Below are 22412 nucleotides of genomic sequence, written 5' to 3'. Positions count from 1 at the left end.
CTGATAAGCAAGACAAAAGATATGCACTAGGAAGTCTATTAGAATATCTGTAGCAATACTATGCAATAGAACTTTTTGTGATAGGCTGGGCTTGGTGGCTCACACCTGTAATCCCAGCACTTTGGGAGGCCAAGGCGGGTGGATCATAAGGTCCAAAGGGTCTAACTTGGTGAAACTCTGTCTGTACTAAAAATACAAAAAATTAGCTGGGCGTGGTGGCAGGCTGAGACTCCATCTCAAAAAATAATAGTAAAATAAAACTTTTTGTGATGATAGAAATCCTCTTTATCTGTCCTATCTAGTTGAAGAATTAAATTTATTTTAATTGATTTAACTTTAAGTCACCACTTATGGCTAATGTCTACCATATTGGACCTTGCAGCCCCATAGTTTATAGCTTAAAAGACCTTGCCTTAGTTGCTTTTAAAAAGAAGAGACTATTGAATATTTGTATTGTAACTGAATATTTATAAGGAAATAACCAATAGTAACACTTTTCTACATTAAAAAAATCAGTTTAATATAAAGCAGTTATTTTTCTTTCTATAGGGTCATCTTCTATGGCATCTGCATGTGGCGGAAGTTTAGCATTAATGGATTCAGGTAAAAGAATTATGTCTCAAAACTGCTGATATTGCTCATGCCTGTAATCCCAGGCATGAGCCTTGGGAGGCCAAGGCAGGAGGCTCACTTGAGGCTGGGAGTTCAAGACCAGCCTGGGCAACATAGCAAGACCTCATCTCTACAAAAAAGATTAAAAAAAAATGCTAACCTTTTATACACACCTGTTAGTATAAAATATAAGATTTCTTTAAATTTGGGTTTTAGTAAAACTCAAAGTCAGATTACAGATGGCCAAATCAAGCCAGAGGCAAGATGGCTGAAAAGTAGAGCTTCAGATATCCAGATATCTGCTGGAATTCTTATTTTTAGCTAAAAGCAGTACACTGAAAAATTTTTATTTGCATTGGTGACCCAGTAAACTTTATTTCCTTCCAAAAGGTAGAGAGCTCCAGAATTGATTCCAATCACCAAGGAAGTTTTGATTAGTAAGTACTATTAGGAATCATAAGAGAAAGCAACTGTAATCTTTCAGTCGATTTATACAAGCCAAGAGAACAATGCCACTCAGGCGTGTACACACAATTTTAGGAAGGCGGACTACAAATGTTTCATTATAATCCCCAGGTCTGAAACGCCAAAAACGAAAGCATTATGCTAGGAGATTTTTTTTTTTTTTTTTTTTGAGACAGAGTCTCGCTCTGTTGTCCAGGCTGAAGTGCAGTGGTGCAGTCTCGGCTCACTGCAACCTCCGCCTCCCAGGTTCAAGTGATTCTTCTGCCTCAGCCTCCTGAGTAGCTGGAATTACAGGTGCGTGCTACCACGCCTGGCTAATTTTTGTATTTTTAGTCGAGACGGGGTTTCACCATATTGGCCAGGCTGACCTCGAACTCCTGACCTCGTGATCCACCCACCTTGCCCTCCCAAAGTGCTGGGATTACAGGCATGAGCCACCACACCTGGCCGCTAGGAGATTCTTAAAACCAATTCGTGCCAAACTGTCATGAATGCTGCTATTCGAGAAGAAAGAGAGAAGGAACCTAAAGACACTAAAGAGGCCACAAAAGGATTTCTCTGATAACTTAACACATTTACAGTACTGGCATGAAAGATAGAAAAGAGGGCCGTGAATAACAAAGGATTAAATGAAAACATGGTTTGAATATATAATAATATTATCTAGAAAAATTGAAACTAAAAACAGGCCAAAGCAAAAAATGCAAAAGGTACTTTTGTAATTTATTCAATAAAGGAAAACATAATCTGATATTTAAGGTAGCTGGTAAAATACTGCTGCTACTATTTTCATCTTCATTCTTTCACTCTACAAATCTTTACTTTGTGGCACCTATGTGCCAAGCACTGATCTAAGTTGTTAGGACATGGTGATGAACAAAACAGTCTTAGACTTCATGGCACTTGTGTTTCTCAGTCTTCCAAATCTCATACTGGAAAACACTGAACAAATCTTGAAAAAAGTAAACTGAAAAATAAAAGATGACATCATAGGGGAGTCTTTACCTGCCATTTTTAAATGAATTCAGATCTTTTGGTCTAGACAAAAACTCATCCTTGACTATAATGAGAACTTCAGGATTAGATTACTGAAGTATGATGGCAGTCATTGAGAAATCGTGGAGACTAGTATCCCAAGGACAGAAAACGTTCTTATTATTGGAAGAGAAGAAAAGTATTTTCTATAAAGTATAACCCAATGAACTTGATCGTGACCCTCAACAAGACTCTTAAGAACTTAAAAAAAGAATGGTTTATAAGTAGTTTAGAAAGGAAAGGGGCCAGGCACAGTGGCTCATTCCTGTAATTGCAGCACTTTGGGAGCCTGAGGTGGGTGGATCACTTGAGGTCAGGAGTTTGAGGCCTGCCTGGCCAACATAGTGAAACCCCGTCTCTACTAAAAATACAAAAATTAGCCGGGTGTGGTGGCCCACGCCTGTAATCCCAGCTACTTGGGAGGCTGAGTCAAGAGAATCACTTTAACCCAGGAGGCGGAGGCTGCAGTGAGCCAAGATCGTGCCACTGCACTCCAGCCTGGGTAACAGAGTGACTCTGTCTCAAGAAAACAAAAAAGGAAAGGGACTACAGAAAGAAGCCAGAAGGGACTTCTCTAAAATAAGTCATGCCATAGTTAATTCACTTTCTGTTTTGAAGAAATTACTGCATTTGCAGTAGAGGGTATTGCTGTTGGTGTGATATATCTATAATTCAGCTTTACGGTTTATGATATCTTTATGATATCTTGTGTAAATGATGCAGAAATTTAGACTAAATAATAGGTGCACCATTCATACTGGTTAAGGGATGAGCAAAGGGACTGCTTAATCTGATCAACAGGTCAGAGAATGATCTCAAGTTGAAGACGTGAGGATGCTTATTTCAGCCCTGTCTCTTTCAATGTTGACTTGACTGAGAACACTGGCCTGCCAGTAAAAATACTGCCAATAAAAATACTGATTAAAAGGAATGGGTGACTGACAAAATTGAGCAGGATAAAAAAATATGGAGCTTAATAGTTTAAAAATTAAATTTGAAGCGTTAAAGCCAAAAACCTCAAAAAAATTAAATTTGATAAGAATGAATGTCAAGTCCTGTGGGATGGGCCGATACAAGGTATGCAGTTCAATTCAAATATGAATTTGAATTGCTAGAGTAGGGCTTGCCCTGCCCTAAGTCAGGCACTGTCCTATGCCCCAGGGATGCAAATTGTACCCAGTTTTTGAAAAAGCTTAAAGGTTTGAAAACAAAAAGATACTAATAGATTGAAGAGGTAATAATACAAATATGTGTAAGGGTGATTGTTGAACTAGGCTGAGCATAATTGGCTGAGAGAGACTGCTACATTTCATCTGATTTTAAAGGCTGAGTAATTGTTGACTGGGCATATTAGGAGCAGGGCCTGTATTTCACATGAAAGGACCAGCATGTGCAAAGTTAAGAAGTTACAGTGTAGTGTGTTTCAGGAATCTACTCGAAAGAGGTGTTAAGGTAATAAAGTAGAACCATATGTTGAAGGTTATTGTTTTTTTTTTTTTTTTTTTGACTTTCCTTTTTATCTTTGTCTTCTCTTTATTTCCTAGTTGTTTCTAGTCAGAGGAAGGATAGCTTTATACAGAAATAGGATTTTTTTTTTTTAATTTTTTTTTTTTTTTTAAATTGATCATTCTTGGGTGTTTCTCACAGAGGGGGATTTGGCAGGGTCACAGGACAATAGTGGAGGGAAGGTCAGCAGATAAACAAGTGAACAAAGGTCTCTGGTTTTCCTAGGCAGAGGACCCTGCGGCCTTCCGCAGTGTTTGTGTCCCTGGGTACTTGAGATTAGGGAGTGGTGATGACTCTTAAGGAGCATGCTGCCTTCAAGCGTCTGTTTAACAAAGCACATCTTGCACCGCCCTTAATCTATTCAACCCTGAGTGGACACAGCACATGTTTCAGAGAGCACAGGGTTGGGGGTAAGGTCACAGATCAACAGGATCCCAAGGCAGAAGAATTTTTCTTAGTACAGAACAAAATGAAAAGTCTCCCACGTCTACCTCTTTCTACACAGACACGGCAACCATCCGATTTCTCAATCTTTTCCCCACCTTTCCCCCCTTTCTATTCCACAAAACCGCCATTGTCATCATGGCCCGTTCTCAATGAGCTGTTGGGCACACCTCCCAGACGGGGTGGTGGCCGGGCAGAGGGGCTCCTCACTTCCCAGTAGGGGCGGCCGGGCAGAGGCGCCCCTCACCTCCCAGACGGGGCGGCTGGCCGGGCAGAGGGGCTCCTCACTTCCCAGTAGGGGCGGCCGGGCAGAGGCGCCCCTCACCTCCCGGACGGGGCGGCTGGCTGGGCGGGGGGGCTGACCCCCCCACCTCCCTCCTGGACGGGGCGGCCGGCCAGGCAGAGGGGCTCCTCACTTCCCAGTAGGGGCGGCCGGGCAGAGGCGCCCCTCACCTCCCGGACGGGGCGGCTGGCCGGGCGGGGGGCTGATCCCCCCACCTCCCTCCCGGACGGGGCGGCTGGCCGGGCGGGGGGCTGACCCCCCCACCTCCCTGCCGGACGAGGTGGCTGCCGGGCAGAGACGCTCCTCACTTCCCAGACGGGGTGGCTGCTGGGCGGAGGGGCTTCTCACTTCTCAGACGGCGCGGCTGCCGGGCGGAGGGGCTCCTCACTTCTCAGACTGGGCGGTTGCCGGGCGGAGGGTCTCCTCACTTCTCAGACGGGGCGGCCGGGCAGAGACGCTCCTCACATCCCGGACGGGGCGGCAGGGCAGAGGTGCTCCCCACATCTCAGACGATGGGCGGCCGGGCAGAGACGCTCCTCACTTCCCAGATGGGATGGCGGCCGGGAAGAGGCGCTCCTCACTTCCTAGACGGGGTGGCGGCCGGGCAGAGGCTGCAATCTCGGCACTTTGGGAGGCCAAGGCAGGCTGCTGGGAGGTGAAGGTTGTAGCGAGCTGAGATCACGCCACTGCACTCCAGCCTGGGCACCATTGAGCATGGAGTGAACGAGACTCCGTCTGCAATCCCGGCACCTCAGGATGCCGAGGCTAGCGGATCACTCGCAGTTAGGAGCTGGAGACCAGCCCAGCCAACACAGCGAAACCCCGTCTCCACCAAAAAAATACGAAAACCAGTCAGGCGTGGCGGCGCGCGCCTGCAATCGCAGGCAGTCGGCAGGCTGAGGCAGGAGAATCAGGCAGCAGTACCGTCCAGCTTCAGCTCGGCATCAGAGGGAAACCATGGAGAGAGGGAGAGGGAGACCGTGGGTAGAGGTAGAGGTAGAGGTAGAGGTAGAGGTGGAGAGAGGGAGAGAGGGCAGGATTTTTTTTAAGTAAGAATTCTTTACCAATCCTTCTTTCCCCAACATAAAATCTCCTATTTGAAGTGGAGTTTGAGGTAGGGACTCGAGAGGCAGTGCCTCAAGAAAGCCACACATTGTACAATCTGAAGGTTATTGTTACGCTAAGGAGTTTGGACTTAAAGCCAGCATTTTTCCAATTCAGTATTCCATGGAATAGTGTTCCACAGGACATTGATTATTGTATACCATGAAAAAGTTTATTCTGTTCTAAAGTTAAGTTTCAGCAGGGTTAAGCAGGTTTATTTAATATGGATTAAATAGACTTTAATAAGCTAATCCGAATACTGACTCTCTAGGAATAGGACATGTAATATTTTTCCAAATTTATTTGACCACAGAATATGTACAAAAATTTCCTGAAAGTAGGCAATGGGGAACTTGAAGGATTTTATGGAAAACAGTGGCATGATTTGAATCTGCTTTTGTTTTTTCCAAACAGTTTTTCCCAGCTTAAGTGATGAATAGCCCTGCGGAATGAGATGGGAGAGACTAAGAAGCAAAGAGAGAAAGTAAAATCTGGGAAGCCAGACAGGGAGATTGTTGCCAGGGCAAGAAATGATATGGACTCAGACTAAAAAGTTACAATAGGTATTTTAATATTTAGGGTAAAGGACAGCTTTCTAAAAAAATAAACAGATCTTTGTGACTTGATGGGATATAGGAAATGAGGAAAGAAATGTTGATTCTGGCATGAGTGTCTTAGTTGCTTTCAACCAAAGAATGCAGGAGGAAAAGGATTTTTTGACAGTGATTCAATTTTGAACATATATGTATTTCTTTCATCATCATCATTATTATTATTTATAGAGATGAGGTCTCAATATATTGCCCAGGCTGGTCTCAAATTCCTGAGTTCAAGTGATCCTCCCATCTTGGCCTGCCAAAGCGTTGGGATTACAAGCATGAGCCACTGGGCCTGGCTCAATTTTGAATATATATTTAAGGTGCTTTGGGGACATTTAGCTGGAGATGTCTGACAGGGAGTTTACTAATACAGGTCCAGGGTTTGGCACAGATAGCTGGACAGGAGGGATAGATTTTTAAGTCATCAACATTATAGATGGTGGTTAAAATCGTAAGTATAGATGAGGTTGCTTAGAGAAAATGAAATGAGATCCACACTCCTTTATACCAAAGTAAATTCCAAGTGATCAAAACTTAAACATTTTTAAACAAATGAAAGATGGTAGGTTTTATCAAAATCTTGGAGAAGAAAAGCTCTGCTAAGCAAAACCCAGAAACCATGATTACGTAAACTAAAAATCCTACACAGAAAACTAATGACCATAAGCAAAGTCAACGAACTAGGAAATAAAATATTTTATTTATATGTTATTAAACATAATATTTTATCTTTACATTTTAATAAAGCTCTGTCCATATTGAAAGAAAATCAGTAATAAAAAGACTGCCAACCAAGTAGAAAAGTGTTGAAGGCCATGAACAGGGAGTTCTCAAAATAAGACATATAAATAGGTTTATGAACATGAAATAGTTTTCAACCTCAGTCATAAAAAACAAGTCAGATTTAAAATAACCATTTTTTACACTTTAAATTGAGAAAAATCAAAAGATTTGACAAGAATTAATAAGAATATAGAGTAGCATATACCTTCTTACACCACTGGTAAAAGTTTAAAATGCTATGTCTTTAGAAGGCAGTTTGACAGTCTAACAAACGTAAATGCACATACCTTTTGACTCAGCAATCGCACTTCTGTGTGTGACTTGTAAAACATACAGGGAGTACTAAAACTATTCAAAGGAATAAAGTAGAGCTTTGTGTGGTGGTATGTGTCAATATCCAAGACATGTTATTAAGTGAAAAAGGCAAGGTGCAGAACAGTAAATGCATACAGTCTGCCGCCACGAGTAAAGAAAACAAAAGATTATATTTACATTTATACTTGTGCACAGAAATTTTCTAGGAGGATACACTAATGTTAGCTGCCATGGGGAGGTAAACTGAGGAGTTCAGGCTGGAAGAATTTACCAAATAGATGCTTACTTTCCAACAAAAAGAAAATAAGACACCTGAAGCAAAAAAGCAAACCAACGGATAATTTAAAAGTTATAAAGTTTGCTATTGTTAGAGAAGTTTTTGCTGGATATAGTACTTGTTTACATTGTTTTAGGGAACTTTATTATATGTTCAAAAACAAACGAAGTAGTCAGATGACCTCTTAAGACTTCCAACTCAGCTTCGGTGATTGTCAATTTAGGCAACAATATCCACTTACATTAAAAGTAAATGTCTGCTGGGCGCGGTGGCTCACGCTTGTAATCCCAGCGCTTTGGGAGGCTGAGGCTGGCAGATCACCTGAGGTCAGGAGTTCAAGACCAACAGGGCCAACATGGTTGAAACCCCATCTCCACTAAAAATACAAGCAAATTAGCTAGGCGTGTTGGCGGGTGCCTATAATCCCAGCTATAGGGGAGGCTGAGGTGGGAGGATTGCTTGAACCCAGGAAGCAGAGGCTACAGTGAGCCAAGATCATGCCACTGCACTCCAGTCTGGGCAACAGACCGAGACTCCCTCTCAAAAAAAAAAAAAAATTGATAGATAAATATTTGTTTTAGGCTCATGTACACATTACCCACAGTTGTTCTTTTTCCCAATTATAGGGGTTCCAATTTCATCTGCTGTTGCAGGCGTAGCAATAGGATTGGTCACCAAAACCGATCCTGAGAAGGGTGAAATAGAAGATTATCGTTTGCTGACAGATATTTTGGCAAGTATATTCTCGGTTTCAAATATTTAATAATGAAGACTAAAAATAAATAAATAAAAATTAAAAGATAAAAACAAATAATGGTGAAGACTATATGTACTTTGCACCTAGCGTATGCTTAGAAGAATGCTAGTATTTGAAGAACAGGTACTTGTTCTTCCCTTCCTCCTCTGCATGTTCACCTTGTATCTTATAGGATATGAATTTAAAATAGATATTATATTAATAGTAATAGGCCAGGCACAGTGACTCATGCCTGTAATCCCAGCACTTTGGGAAGTCAGGAGTTCCAGACCAGTCTGGCTAATGTGGCAAAACTCCATCTCTACTAAAAATACAAAAATTAGCCTGGGCATGGTGGCACACACCTGTAATCCCATCTACTTGGCAGGCTGAGGCAGAATTGCTTGAACCCGGGAGGCAGAGGTTGCAGTGAGCCAAGATCGTGCCACTGCACTCCATCCTGGGCAACAGAGCAAGACTGTGTCTCAAAATAAGTAAAATAAAATAAAATAAAATGATTACTTTAAAAAAATAGTAATACTTACCCTTAAGTATTGCAGTAATACTTACACAGTGTAAGTATTCATAATGACTCACTTTAGGATGAGCATAAATTCATTCTCAGGCATTTATGAGGGAAAGGAATGATCTAAAAATAAAATGATGTTTCTGGTGAAAATAATTGTAGCTTAAAAAGTCACAAATTGGAAGTGGTAGTTAATGTAGAAAACATTGCTTTGTGTTTGGACTTAGGATATGGTTTACTTCTAAAGCTGTTTTTTGAAATGTTTCTACAGTGAATATGTTGACTTTTGTTTTTGTTTAAAACTATGTCATAACTTTTTAAATTCCTGAAGGGAATTGAAGATTACAATGGTGACATGGACTTCAAAATAGCTGGCACTAATAAAGGAATAACTGCATTACAGGTATTTTTAAAACCCATTTTGTTTCATTTTTGTAACATTTAAATAATGCCATGAGTCAATATTTATATAATTGTTTGACTTTTCCATATTAGGCTGATATTAAATTACCTGGAATACCAATAAAAATTGTGATGGAGGCTATTCAACAAGCTTCAGGTGAGCTAGTGTGCTTGATTCTCCCTTCATTCTTTTCCACTTTGCTAATGGGAACTATAGTTCTCATTAGGCTTATTATAAAATATTGCTTTAAAAAGTGGAATTTCATATAACTTAGATCAAGAAGTACTGGCCAGGTGTGGTGGCTCATGTCTGTAATCCCAGCACTTTGAGAGGCCGAGGCAGGCAGATCACTTCAGGTCAGGAGTTCGAGACCAGCCTGGCCAACATGGTGAAACCCTGTCTCTACTAAAAGTACAAAAATTAGCCGGGCATGGTGGTGCATACCTGTAATCCCAGCTACTCAGGAGGCTGAGACAAGAGAATCGCTTGAGCCCAGGAGGCAGAGGTTACAGTGAGCCGAGATCATGCCATTGCGCGCCAGCCTGGGTGACAGAGGGAAAATGTCTCAAAAAAAAAGAAGTACTAAGTAGCCAGGCATGGCATGGTGGCTCATCCTAGCACTTTGGGAGGCCAAGGCAGGAAGATTGCTTGAGCCCCAGGAGTTCAAGACCAGCCTGGGCAACGTAGTGAGATCCCATATCTATTTTAAAAAAAGAAGAAGCACAACTAAGTTTTTGGGACACATGAATACACGCCAAAGTGGGTTACCAGTGAAATTTCAATTTTTACAAATTAAACAACTCTATTTAAGATGGGATTTTTGGAGAAGAGAATATGAGTGAATTTTCAAGGTAATAGGGATGTGGAAAGCTTCAATTATTAAGCTACAGGGTTTAGATTGTATACCGTGAAAACTAAGAGTACAGTATTTCAGATCATATTTGTTTTATGTAGTTATAATTTTTGTGTTTTTCTCTTCTAGTGGCAAAAAAGGAGATATTACAGATCATGAACAAAACTATTTCAAAACCTCGAGCATCTAGAAAAGAAAATGGACCTGTTGTAGGTAATACATTAAAATTTTAGTGATCGGCTGGGCGCGGTGGCTCACGCCTGTAATCCCAGCACTTTGGGAGGCCGAGGCGAGCGGATCACAAGGTCAGGAGATCGAGACCATCCTGGCTAACACGGTGAAACCCTGTCTCTACTAAAAAATACAAAAAATTAGCCGGGCGTGGTGGCGGGCGCCTGTAGTCCCAGCTACTCGGGAGGCTGAGGCAGGAGAATGGCATGAACCCGGGAGGCGGAGCTTGCAGTGAGCCGAGATCGCGCCACTGCACTCCAGCCTGGGCGACAAAGTGAGACTCCGTCTCAAAAAAAAAAAAAAAAAAATTTTAGTGATCATGGTAAGATAAACATTAATATATGAATGAATATTACTGCTTTTAAATTGTTTTTACCCAGTGCACAAAACGAAAATATTTTAAATACTTTTGTAGTTAAAATGCTTTAAATTTTAGGGAATATTCTTTAACAGTTTTCAGTAATTTTAATCATCTACTTTTCTGTTTTATAGTAAAATATTTTTACATGTGTCTAGGTCAAAAAAAAAAAAAATCTCAAGTGACCATGGCATGTTTTAGGTTCATGTATGTAGTTGAATTGTTTATATATTTGTCTGTATTACGTTCCAGAAACTGTTCAGGTTCCATTATCAAAACGAGCAAAATTTGTTGGACCTGGTGGCTATAACTTAAAAAAACTTCAGGCTGAAACAGGTAAGAGTTGTATGAAGTTTGGGGTTTTTTAATTAAATGCTAGACCATAAAAGTTTGCTATTTCATCTCTAGTATGTTGCTTTAAATATATATTTATTTGAGAAATGAGAGAAAGACCAGGAGAAAAGGATATGACGTGTCTTGACTGTGAGTTTTCTGTGTGCCTATTAATAAATTAGCAAATGGTCATTCTTAACTAAATTCAAGAAGGATTACAAAGAATTCATCAGGACTTTTTTGCAACATTTTATAGTTGAACATCTAGAATAATTTTTAGTTTTTAACTTTAGAGGAATTATTACTTAGTTATTTCTTTTTATTCTGCTACTTTCACTTAGTTTTATTTTAACTCTTTTATTTAAAGAGTATATAAAAAAAAGCTTTAATTTATTTTTCCTGAAGCAATGTTTGAATTACCTCGTACTTCAAGGTTTGAGGTTACTGCAAGAGAGTGAGAAGCACTGTCACCTTAGCCATTTGCTAACACTGAGAAACTGATGTGATTTTGTCCCTTATTCATTTATTCACCCCTCGTAAGAGTAAGCGGGAGAAAGAAAAAAAGTAAGGAAAGGGTTCTATTATAGTTTCTACTCGTAATTAAGAGAGCAGAACCAGACTCTCCAAAATTTGTATAGATATATTTGATTTCACTAGATGGTGAATTTCAAGAAATCAAGCATATTGGCTCACCATTGTATCCCCAGGGCCTACCTAGTATAATGCCAGGTACCTAGCAAGTATGCAGAGTGTATTTGTTGATGAATGAATTCCTTCATTCCTAAAGTAATGATTAAATACAGCATAACTCCACCCAGCTACTAATAGGTCCCTCCTATTCTCACATCTATTTTTAAGACGAGTTTCCACTGGAATGAGCAAGTTAACTTTTTTTTTTTTTGAGATGGGGCCTTGCTCTGTCACCCAGACTGGAGTGCAGTACACAATCACAGCTAACTCCAGCCTTGACCCCTGGGATCAAGTGATCCTCCCGACTGTGAGTCCCAAGTAGGTGGGCACATGCTACCAGGTCCAGCTAATTTTTGAATTTATTTTTTGTAGTAACAGGCTCTCCCTATGTTGCCCAGGCTGGCCTTGAACTCCTGAGCTCAAGTGATCCTCCCACCTCAGCCCCCCAGAGTGCTGGGATTACAGATGTGACCCACTATGCCCAGCCAAGTTAACTTTAATATGTTACATTTTGTTTTTAAAAGGTGTAACTATTAGTCAGGTGGATGAAGAAACGTTTTCTGTATTTGCACCAACACCCAGTGCTATGCATGAGGCAAGAGACTTCATTACTGAAATCTGCAAGGATGATGTAAGTATAGATCATATTAATTACGTATCATATAGCTATATTTGTTTTTTCTACTTTTTGTTGATGTTTTCTTTATGAATCTTATGGCTTATTTTGCACTTACAGCAGGAGCAGCAATTAGAATTTGGAGCAGTATATACCGCCACAATAACTGAAATCAGGTAATATCAAGTAATATACTATGCTGAGCATTTTCCTTTCTTTAGAGACAGGGTCTCACCCTGCCACCCACAGTGGGATACAGTGGTGCCATTGTACCTCACAGCTGCCTTGAACTCCTGGGATCAGGCAGTTCTCCCACCTCAGCCTCCTATTTAGGACTACAAGCACACACCACCACACGTGGCTGATTTTTTAATTTTTTTGTAAAGACATGGTCTCACTATGTTGCCCAGGTTGGTCTTAAACTCCTGGCCTCAAGCCATCCTCCTGCCTCAGCCTCCCAAAGTGCCAGGATTACAGGCATGAGCCACCGTGCCCAGCCCTGTTTTGGTTTTTAACAGATTCCTATTATAATCCCAATTTAATTTTACATTTACTTTGAAATCATAAGGTGTTTAGATTACATGCCAATTGCCATATAATCATTATTTTTTAAGGTATAGTATATTTTGTTTTCTATATCATTTTATAAAATTAAAGTAGCAGTTCTGTGGTTCTAATTATGATAGGTTCTCTTAACTGAATTCTTTTTTTTTTTTTTTTTTTTTTTTGGGACAGAGTCTCGCTCTGTCACCCAGGCTGGAGTGCAGTGGTGCGATCTCAGCTCACTGCAAGCTCTGCCTCCCGGGTTCACGCCATTCTGCCTCATCCTCCCCGGTAGCTGGGACTGCAGGTGCCCGCCACCACGCCTAGCTAATTATTTTTTGTATTTTTAGTAGAGACGGGGTTTTACCTTGTTAGCCAGGATGGTCTCGATCTCCTGACCTTGTGATCCGCCCCCCTCGGCCTCCCAAAGTACTGGGATTACAGGCTTGAGCCACCGCGCCCGGCCAACTGAATTCTTTAACCAAATTTTCTACTAGTAATTGGTGAAACCCCAAATTAATTTTCCCAGTAAATATTAAATAGGCCCAAAATAGACTTAGCAATATTTCTTTATTTCTTTTTTTTTCTTTTGATGGCTTATTTTAAACATATCTGAATGCTTAATTGGCACATATTTTTAAATCCAATTTCGGCTGTGCATGGTGGCTCACGCCTGTAATCCCAGCTCTTTGGGAGGCCAAGGCAGGTGGATCAGGAAGTGGGGGGTTCGAGAGCAGCCTGACCAACATGGTGAAACCCCATGTCTACTAAAAATACAAAAGTTAGCCAGGCATGGTGGTGCATGCCTGTAATCCCAGCTACTCAGGAGGCTGAGGCAGGAGAATCGCTTGAAGCCGGGAGGCAGAGGTTGCAGTGAGATGAGATCGCACCACTGCACTCCAGCCTGGGCGACAGAGCGAGACTCCATCTCAAAAAAAAAAAAAGCCAATTTCAGTCTCAAAGCATTTTTTTTGACCAGCTAGAAGAGCTTGTTTTTTTAGGATAAGAAAATCCCTCTTTTAAGAAAAAGGAAATTATCAAATGTAGCAAAAATGTTCAAAGCTATTTGAAATAAAATAAAAGGCAAGGAGATAATTTGTTTAATATTGCAGGTGAAAAATAAGAAATGGGATGGCTTATTTTCATAGATTAGAGAAAAAAGGGAAGATTAGTTTTTTAATGAAATAAGTATTCCATTTTACCTGACCACCTTCCTTAAATCCTTACCTTACAGGTTAATCATATGAGATTCTATACTATTTTTAAAATATTTAATGTCATTTCGAAAATTTTTGGAAAATCGAGACCAGCCTGGCCAACTTCGTGAAACCCCATCTCTACTAAAAATACAAAAATTAGCTGGTCATGGTGGCACATGCCTGTAATCCCAGCTGCTTGGGAGACTGAGGCATGAGAATGACTTGAACCTGGGAGGCGGAGGTTGCAGTGAGCCCAGATGGCACCACTGCACTCCAGCCTGGGTGGCAAAAAAAAAAAAAAAAAAAAATGTTTTTGGAAATTGTTAAGAGAAATACAGAAGAACATATATTCTAAAAGTTTTTTTTGTTGAGACGGAGTCTCACTCTGTTGCCAGGTTGGAGTGTAGTGGCACGATCTCGGCTCACTGCCACCTCCGCCTTTCGGGTTCAAACAATTCTCCTGCCTCACCCTCCTGAGTAGCTGGGATTACAGGTGCGCGCCACCAGGCCCAGCTAATTTTTATATTTTTAGTAGAGACGGGGTTTCACCATGTTGGCCAGGGTGGAGTTGATCTCTTGACCTCGTGATCTGCTCACCTTGGCCTCCCAAAGTGCTGGGATTACAGGTGTGAGCCACCGCACCTGGCTCTAAAAGCTTTTCTATTGCATGTTTTTTCTTTATCTTTTCTTCATTCTTTGATTCACACATATTTATTTATAGGGTATATTTTCAGTTGAAAAGTATACTTTTTATAGTTCTAAAAACGTGCTAGAATTGTTTCTTTTCGTTTTTTACTTTTTCCTCATATGAAAACAATGTTTTATTTGTCAATGGATATACAGATACTTATTATTTTAACCAGGCTTACTATTTATTTTTTTGTAGAGATACTGGTGTAATGGTAAAATTATATCCAAATATGACTGCGGTACTGCTTCATAACACACAACTTGATCAACGAAAGGTAAAAAGACAGATGTTATTGTTATTATTTTTATAACTGCCTTGAAACACTGTATTGAAATTACCTAGGTTGGTAAGAATTATACACTTTGCCTACTACTAGCCTAAACAGAGAAAACAAGTGGCAGAGATGCTGCTGGCAAAAAGTTTTACATTGTTTAGCATAAAGAAAAATTGGCTGGGCAGGGTGGCTCATGCCTGTAATCCCAGCACTCTGGAAGTCCGAGGCGGGTGAATCACAAGGTCAAGAAATGGAGACCATCCTGACCAACATGGTGAAACCCAGTGTGTACTAAAAATACAAAAATTAGCTGGGCGTGGTGGCGTGCGCATGTAGTCTTAGCTACTCGGGAGGCTGAGGAAGGAGAATCGCTTGAACCCGGGAGGCGGAGGATGCGGTGAGCCAAGATTGTGCCACTGCACTCCAGTCTGGCGACAGAGTGAGACTTTGTCTCAAAAAAAAAAGAGTGTCTGTTTTACCATATATTAAAATATATTATAAAGCCATAGACAATAAAATAGTATATTACCGGCCCAGAAATAGATAATCCATGCAACAAGAAAACAAAAACTAGAAATAATATACATGGGATTATAATATACGCTAGAAGTTGTATTATAGTCAGTGAATAAAGATTATTTAATAAATTATATTGGTACAGCTGGTTATCTTAAAACAGGATCTCTACTCATTTTTATACCTAAATCCTGTCTGGATCAAAGAGCTAAATGTGCTTTTTAAAAAAGGTGGTAGGAAAAGATAATCTTGTTGGGGCAGGAGGGTTTACTAGAAGAAAATTGGATGTTTTAATAAGATTAGTAGTGGAGAACTCCTCAACATGATATCAAAGCCAAAAAAGTAAATAAACTTACAAAATTTGACCCCATAATTTTTTAATTATATGGCAAAAATTTCAATAAGGTTAAGAGATAATCAGCAACCTAAAGTAAAAATGCTTATATGCAGAAGCTTAATTTACAAAGGGCTTTTATAAATCCGTAAGAATGATGAATATCAATAGAAAAATAAGTAAAGAACATGAACAAATTATTTTTATAAAAAGCCAACCAAGATATTTAATATCAACAGCAATTTTTGAAATGCAAATGAAATTAAGATATCAGTTTTAACTTTCAGATAGTTTAAAATTCTCAGTGTGTATAAGAGAAAAGATGGACATTTTCATACACTGTTGATGGGGGTGTGAATTGGGACAAACTTTTTAGAGGGTGTTTGGTAAATGTCTATGGACCTAGACATTGTAGGATTTTATTTGGAGAGGATAATTAGAGTAGATGAATTCATGATTTGTGCTACACTGCAACTTATTTTTTTTCACCTTATTATTTTGAAAAGTTTTTAATGTACAAAGAAGTTGAAAGAATGATACACTAAACCCTCATATATCTTTCTCCTATATTCATCAGTCATTAACATTTGCAACACTGGAATTTAAAGCAATTTATTGTCTTTAGGTGATTGTTTAAATAAACTATATAGTTTGAAACTTAACGGTAATTCTTAATTTATTGATATGAAAAGATGTCCTTGGGCCAGGTGCAGTGGCTCACGCCTGTAAGCCCAGCACTTTGGGAGGCCAAGGTGGACGGATCACTTTAGGTCAGGAGTTTGAGACCAGCATGGCCAACATGGCAAACCCCCGTGTCTACTAAACATAGAAAAAATTAGCTGGGCATGATGGCGTGCACCTGTAATCCCAGCTACTCTGGAGGCTGAGGCAGGAGAATCTCTTGAACCTGGGAGGAAGAGGTTGCAGTGAGCGGATATCATGCTACTGTACTCCAGCCCGGATGACAGAGCGAGACTCCATCTCAAAAAAAAAAAAAGATGTCCTTAAGATATACAGTAAGCACAGAGGGTCCATTTTTATAAATGCCGTACACATACACTAAGTAGACATCTGAAGGGATACTCATTGGAATGTTAGCAGTAGTTATCTACAACTTGAGAGGGTTTTGAGACAGGGTCTTGCTCTGTCACCCAGGCTGGAGTATAGTGGCATGATCACAGCTCACTGCAGCCTCAGCCTCCCAGGCTCAAGTGATTCTCCCACCTTAGCCTCTGGAGAAGCTGGGTCCCCAGGCACAAACCGCTACACCCGGCTAATTTTTTTGGATTTTTTGTAGAGATGGGGTTTCTTCACGTTGCCCAGTCTGGTTTAAGCAGTCCTTCCACCTCGGCCTCCCAAAGTTCTGGGACTACAGGTGTGAGCCACTGTACCCAGCCTGTTTTGGATAATTTTTATGTTCTTAATACATCTGTATTTTAAATCTTTATAATTAACTGATTTTTTTTTTTTTTTCTGAGACAGAGTCTGACTCTGTCGCCCAGGCTGGAATGCAGTGGCATAATCTCAGCTTACTGCAACCTCTGCCTCCCAGATTCAGGCAATTCTCCTGCCTCAGCCTCCCAAGTAGCTGGGACTACAGGCGTGTGCCACGACACCCAGCTAGTTTTTGTATTTTTAGTAGAGATAGGGTTTCACCATGTTGGTCAGACTGGTTTCGAACTCCGGAGCTCAAGTGATCTGCCTGCCCCAGCCTCCCAAAGTTCTGGGATTACAGCCGTGAGCCACCATGCCCAGCTGATTTTTTTTTTTTTTTTTTGAGACGGATTCTCTCTCTGTCACCCAGGCTGGAGTGCAATGGCGTGGTCTCGGCTCACTGCAAGCTCCACCTCCTGGGTTCACGCCATTCTCCTGCCTCAGCCTCCTGAGTAGCTGGGACTACAGGCGCCCGCCACCATGCCCGGCTAATTTTTTGCATTTTTAGCAGAGATGGGGTTTCACTCTCCTGACCTCCAGAGATGGTCTCAATCTCCTGACCTCTTGATCTGCCCGCTTCTGCCTCCCAAAGTGCTGGAATTACAGGCTTGAGCCACTGCGCCCAGCCGCTAACTGATTTTTTTAATCAGAAAAACTAATAAAGCTTGAGGAAAAAATGTGTACTTCCATGGACACTACATAATTATGCACAACAACTAATAGATTAACATTTTTTTTTCCAGATTAAACATCCTACTGCCCTAGGATTAGAAGTTGGCCAAGAAATTCAGGTATTTGTATTCCACCTTTTAGCCTTGAAGTTGTAAATTGTTCTTGAAGCTTCCATTGTTTTTTTCAAAAAGTTGAAAGAAGAGTCACCATCTATGAAGTTTTTTATTTGTATGCAGTACTTCATTTTTAATCTTAGAATTGCTTGAACAGACTCATTAAGGATTTAAGACACAATTCTTTCCCTCAAGGAGCTTGCAGCTTGGCCAAAATGGTAGTCACCCTTAGTTCGTTTAAAAAATACATGAGCATGTTAGTGTTAGCTATGCAGACTCCATGATTTGGGCACTGACGTAAGAACTGTGATAAGGTAACTTGTTAAAGTCTTTGAATGTCATCTTTGAGGAGGTGAGACTTTGTTTCTCCACTACTTAAAGTTTTTGAGCTTGGTAAGAGCCATGTTATTCAGGCCTAGAATTCATATAACAAAATTGGCCCTTTCTTTGTAGTCCTTTATGAGTGGATGAAAGAAGTCATTGCCAGTCTGTTTTTTCGGGCTCCACCACATTGTCTTTCACTTACGCTAATACGCATGACCTGAGTAACTAAGGCTTCTGGTTTATTCCCAATGTGTAGTCTTATTGTCCAAGTAGCCTCCAGGGGAAGATGAGTGCTAAGATATAGTATCTCTGTATAAGGTTGATTTTTTGGTTTATTTGTTGTTGTTGTTGTTGTTGTTGTTTTCACATCAGAAGGAACTTTAAACCTTTGCATTTGCCCCTGACTTTCATTTTCCAAGGTGAAGCCAAATAAACACTAATGTGTTGGTCCTTTGAGCAGTAGTGAAAATCCAAGTGACCTAAGCATAATCCTCTATAGTATATAACACAATTAGGCTCTCAAAGCCCTTGTCTAGGATCATTCACTATGCCTGTGACTGTTCCCCCAGTATAAGGACTTGGCCTGGTGAGAATAAAAAGGCACAGATGAGTTCAGCGGCAGATTATAGTTGAACAACTAACTGCCCCGTCTCTTTTCTCTTTTATAATGACTACTTATATGTGTTAAGTGTATACGTCCACTTAGCACTGAACAATGCTTTCAGTGAACAAGTAAAAACAATCATTGCCTTATTTGGACCATGTAAATTTAAATGTCTATTAGTTTAGATGTCACTCAATGTGCTGTAACTTTAAAGGAAGATCTGTTTCTTTAACACAGGTGAAATACTTTGGACGTGACCCAGCCGATGGAAGAATGAGGCTTTCTCGAAAAGTGCTTCAGTCGCCAGCTACAACCGTGGTCAGAACTTTGAATGACAGAAGTAGTATTGTAATGGGAGAACCTATTTCACAGTCATCATCTAATTCTCAGTGATTTTTTTTTTTAAAGAGAATTCTAGAATTCTATTTTGTCTAGGGTGATGTGCTGTAGAGCAACATTTTAGTAGTATCTTCCATTGTGTAGATTTCTATATAATATAAATACATTTTAATTATTTGTACTAAAATGCTCATTTACATGTGCCATTTTTTTAATTCGAGTAACCCATATTTGTTTAATTGTATTTACATTATAAATCAAGAAATATTTATTATTAAAAGTAAGTCATTTATACATCTTAGAAAAAATTACATAGTTTTGTTTTTACAATTCTGAAATATATGAAAAACTTAGATAGAATATGTCATATGTTATTATAACAGATCTCTTCCTACATCTTATTTTTCTTCTTTGTATACAGTAGTGACAGTTTACCTTCAGTCATCCTACAGGTCACCTCTGTGCCCAACAACTTTACTTGCCTACAACGGTTCACAAACTGGAACAGGCCATATTCAAAGCCAGTGCCTATTTCTTCAGAACTGTTAACAGATATAGTGAGTTGAGGGAGCTAATCTGATACACTTTTGATAATATAATGCCTTTCAAATTAGTTACCAAATCATAAACAGAGTGGAATAAATATAAATGAGATTCTAACTAGGATGAATGTGGTAGTAATGATGTATATTTTTCAAATTTACCTAAACAGAAAGATTATTGGCTAAGGCAGGCGGATCATGAGATCAGGAGATCGAGACCATCCTGGCTAACACGGTGAAACCCCGTCTCTACTAAAAGTGCAAAAATTAGCCGGGCGTGGTGGCGCATGCCTGTAATCCTAGCTACTCAGGAGGCTGAGGCAGAAGAATCACTTCAACCCAGGAGGTGGAGGTTGTAGTGAGCCGAGATTGCGCCATTGCACTCCAGCTCAGGCAACAAGAGCAAAACTCCGTCTCAAAAAAAAAAAAAAAATTGTTTACTTATCAAATTGAACTAGGTCAATTTGAATATGTGTATTGCTCTAATGTATGGAAGTTCTTAGTATAAGAGCTGAAGGATCATGACTTTCGGTTAATAGATGTTTGAAATAGATGTTTAGAGGTTACTGATACACATGTCAAGTTGTTCATTCCCATCATTTAAAATATCACCTTATAATTCCACAGAAAAGTAAATGGTATGTGGACGTCATAATTTAGAATGTGTAATCTTTTTTAAAATCTTATAAAAATACACTGGACTCAGTGGTACGTGCCTGTAGTCCCAGCTACTTGGAAGGCTGAAGTGGGAAGGTCACTAGAGCCCAGAAGTTCGACACTGTAGTGTGCAACAATCATACCTGTGAATAGCTACTGTACTCCAGCCTGGGCAACATAGCAGGACTCTTATCTCTAAAAAAAATTTTAAATCTTATAAAAATGTAGGTATATCTGGCCAGGCATGGTGGCTCACACCTGTAATCCCAACACTTTGGGAGGTCAAGGCGGGTAGATCACCTGAGGTCAGGAGTTCGAGACCAGCCTGGCCAACATGGTGAAACCCCATCTCTACTAAAAATACAAAAATTAGCTGGGTGTGGTGGCGGGCGCCTGTAATCCCAGCTACTCAGGAGGCTGAGGCAGGAGAATCTCTTGAACCTGGGAGGCAGAGGTGGCAGTGAGCTGAGATCGCACCACTGCACTCCAGCCTGGGCAAAAAGAGTAAAACTCCATCTCAAAAAAAAAAATGGTGGGCACAGAAGCTCATGCCTGTAATTCCAGCACTTTGGGAGGCCGAGGCGGGTGGATTACATGAGGTCAGGAATTCAAGACCAGCCTGGCCAACACGGTAAAACCCCATCTCTACTAAAAATACAAAAATTAGCTGGGCATGGTGGCAGGCACCTGTAATCCTAGCTACTCGGGAGGCTGAGGCAGGAGAATCACTTGAGCCTGGGAAATGGAGGTTGCAGTGAGCCGAGATTGCGCCATTGCACTCCAGCCTGGGCGACAGAGCAAGACTCCGTCTCCAGAAAAAAAAAAAAAAAAGGTAAATTCATGACTCAGGGTTAACTAGTTCATAAAATATTACAAATTTATCTGGCTAAACCAAAGATTTTTAAGTCAATAAACATTGATTATATATCTATTGTGTGTAAAATAGCATGTTAGGCAATGTTGATATACTTCTGAAATATTAAAGATTAATTGAAAATGAAAGATTAAATTTATTTGCTTTCTACACTTGATATCGACTATTATTTAATAACAGTAACAAAAGTTTTTATTCTCACTTCTGCTTTCTAAGACATAATTCTTATTTTAAGATATCATCCTTAATGGTAGAATTTCAAAATTGCAATTTGTGTTTTTCTTAAATTTTCTGTTTTCTTTTTCAAAGGAACTCCCAACTCCTAATAATATGGAAAATGAAGCCAGTTCTTAAACAAACTCCAGAAACCTGAACTGACACAAAGTACAAATACAGCTTACTAACTGCAAACCACCAAAAGAACACCATTTCTGCTTAAACCAAGAGCCTACACTTTATGTCTGAACTTTTCTTATTTTTGTCTTCATTTAAATGTTGGTAGTTTTCCCTACTTTCCAATGAAGTTTTTCTTTTTCTTTCTTTCTTTCTTTCTTTTCTTTTTTTTTTTTTTTTTTTTGAGACAGAATCTCACTCTGTTGCCAGGCTGGAGTGCGGCGGCGCAATGTTGGCTCACTGCAACCTCCACTTCCCAGGTTCAAGCAACTCTCCTTCCTCAGCCTCCCTAGTAGCTGGGATTACAGGTGCCCTACACCCGGCTAATTTTTGTATTTTTATTTTATTTTTTCTTATTTTTTTGAGATGGCATCTTGCTCTGTCGCCCAGGCTGGGGTGCAGTGGTGCATTCTCAGCTCACTGCAAGCTCCGCCTCCCGGGTTCACACCATTCTCCTGACTCAGCCTCCCCAGTAGCTGGGACTACAGGCACCTGCCAATATGCCCGGCTAATTTTTTTTTTGTATTTTTTAGTAGAGACGGGGATTCACCATGTTAGCCAGGATGGTCTCATCTCCTGACCTTGTGATCTGCCCACCTCGGCCTCCCAAAGTGCTGGGATTACAAGCATGAGCCGCTGCGCCTGGCCCCAATGAAGTTTTTCTATGACGGCTATATTATATGCTGGAAACACTAATTTATAGTGACTCAGATCAAACTGAATGCCATCTTTGG

At 40.3% G+C, this 22412-nt stretch overlaps 1 protein-coding gene across 4 annotated transcripts in view, besides 1 other annotated feature; it reads left to right on the top strand.

Moving 5' to 3' along the window:
* Positions 1-21442, top strand: part of PNPT1 (polyribonucleotide nucleotidyltransferase 1) — a 59784-nt gene extending 38342 nt beyond the window's left edge. For 3 of the 4 annotated variants that reach the window (XM_017005172.2, XM_005264629.3, NM_033109.5), the window contains 11 exons: positions 550-603; positions 8050-8156; positions 9017-9088; positions 9181-9244; positions 10071-10154; positions 10783-10866; positions 12078-12184; positions 12290-12345; positions 14798-14876; positions 17904-17951; positions 19111-21442. In XM_017005172.2, coding sequence (XP_016860661.1) covers positions 550-603; positions 8050-8156; positions 9017-9088; positions 9181-9244; positions 10071-10154; positions 10783-10866; positions 12078-12184; positions 12290-12345; positions 14798-14876; positions 17904-17951; positions 19111-19266 — 911 coding nt within the window. In that variant the 3' untranslated portion in view covers positions 19267-21442. Of the gene's footprint in view, positions 1-549; positions 604-1002; positions 1050-8049; positions 8231-9016; positions 9089-9180; positions 9245-10070; positions 10155-10782; positions 10867-12077; positions 12185-12289; positions 12346-14797; positions 14877-17903; positions 17952-19110 lie in introns of those variants that run through there. The other variant, XM_047446161.1, reaches the window with a different exon arrangement.
* Positions 4832-5444: an enhancer, noted in NCBI's record as "H3K27ac hESC enhancer chr2:55877194-55877806 (GRCh37/hg19 assembly coordinates)". NCBI's record gives its function as "activates a minimal SCP1, AML or CMV promoter by ChIP-STARR-seq in primed H9 embryonic stem cells {active_cell/tissue: H9 hESC(primed)}" and the evidence as "EXISTENCE:reporter gene assay evidence [ECO:0000049][PMID:30033119]".

Source organism: Homo sapiens, chromosome 2, assembly GCF_000001405.40.
Source record: "Homo sapiens chromosome 2, GRCh38.p14 Primary Assembly".
Classification (NCBI taxonomy): Eukaryota; Metazoa; Chordata; class Mammalia; order Primates; family Hominidae; genus Homo; species Homo sapiens.
Note: the sequence above shows the minus strand (reverse complement) of the source record. Positions and strands in the feature narration are given on the sequence as shown.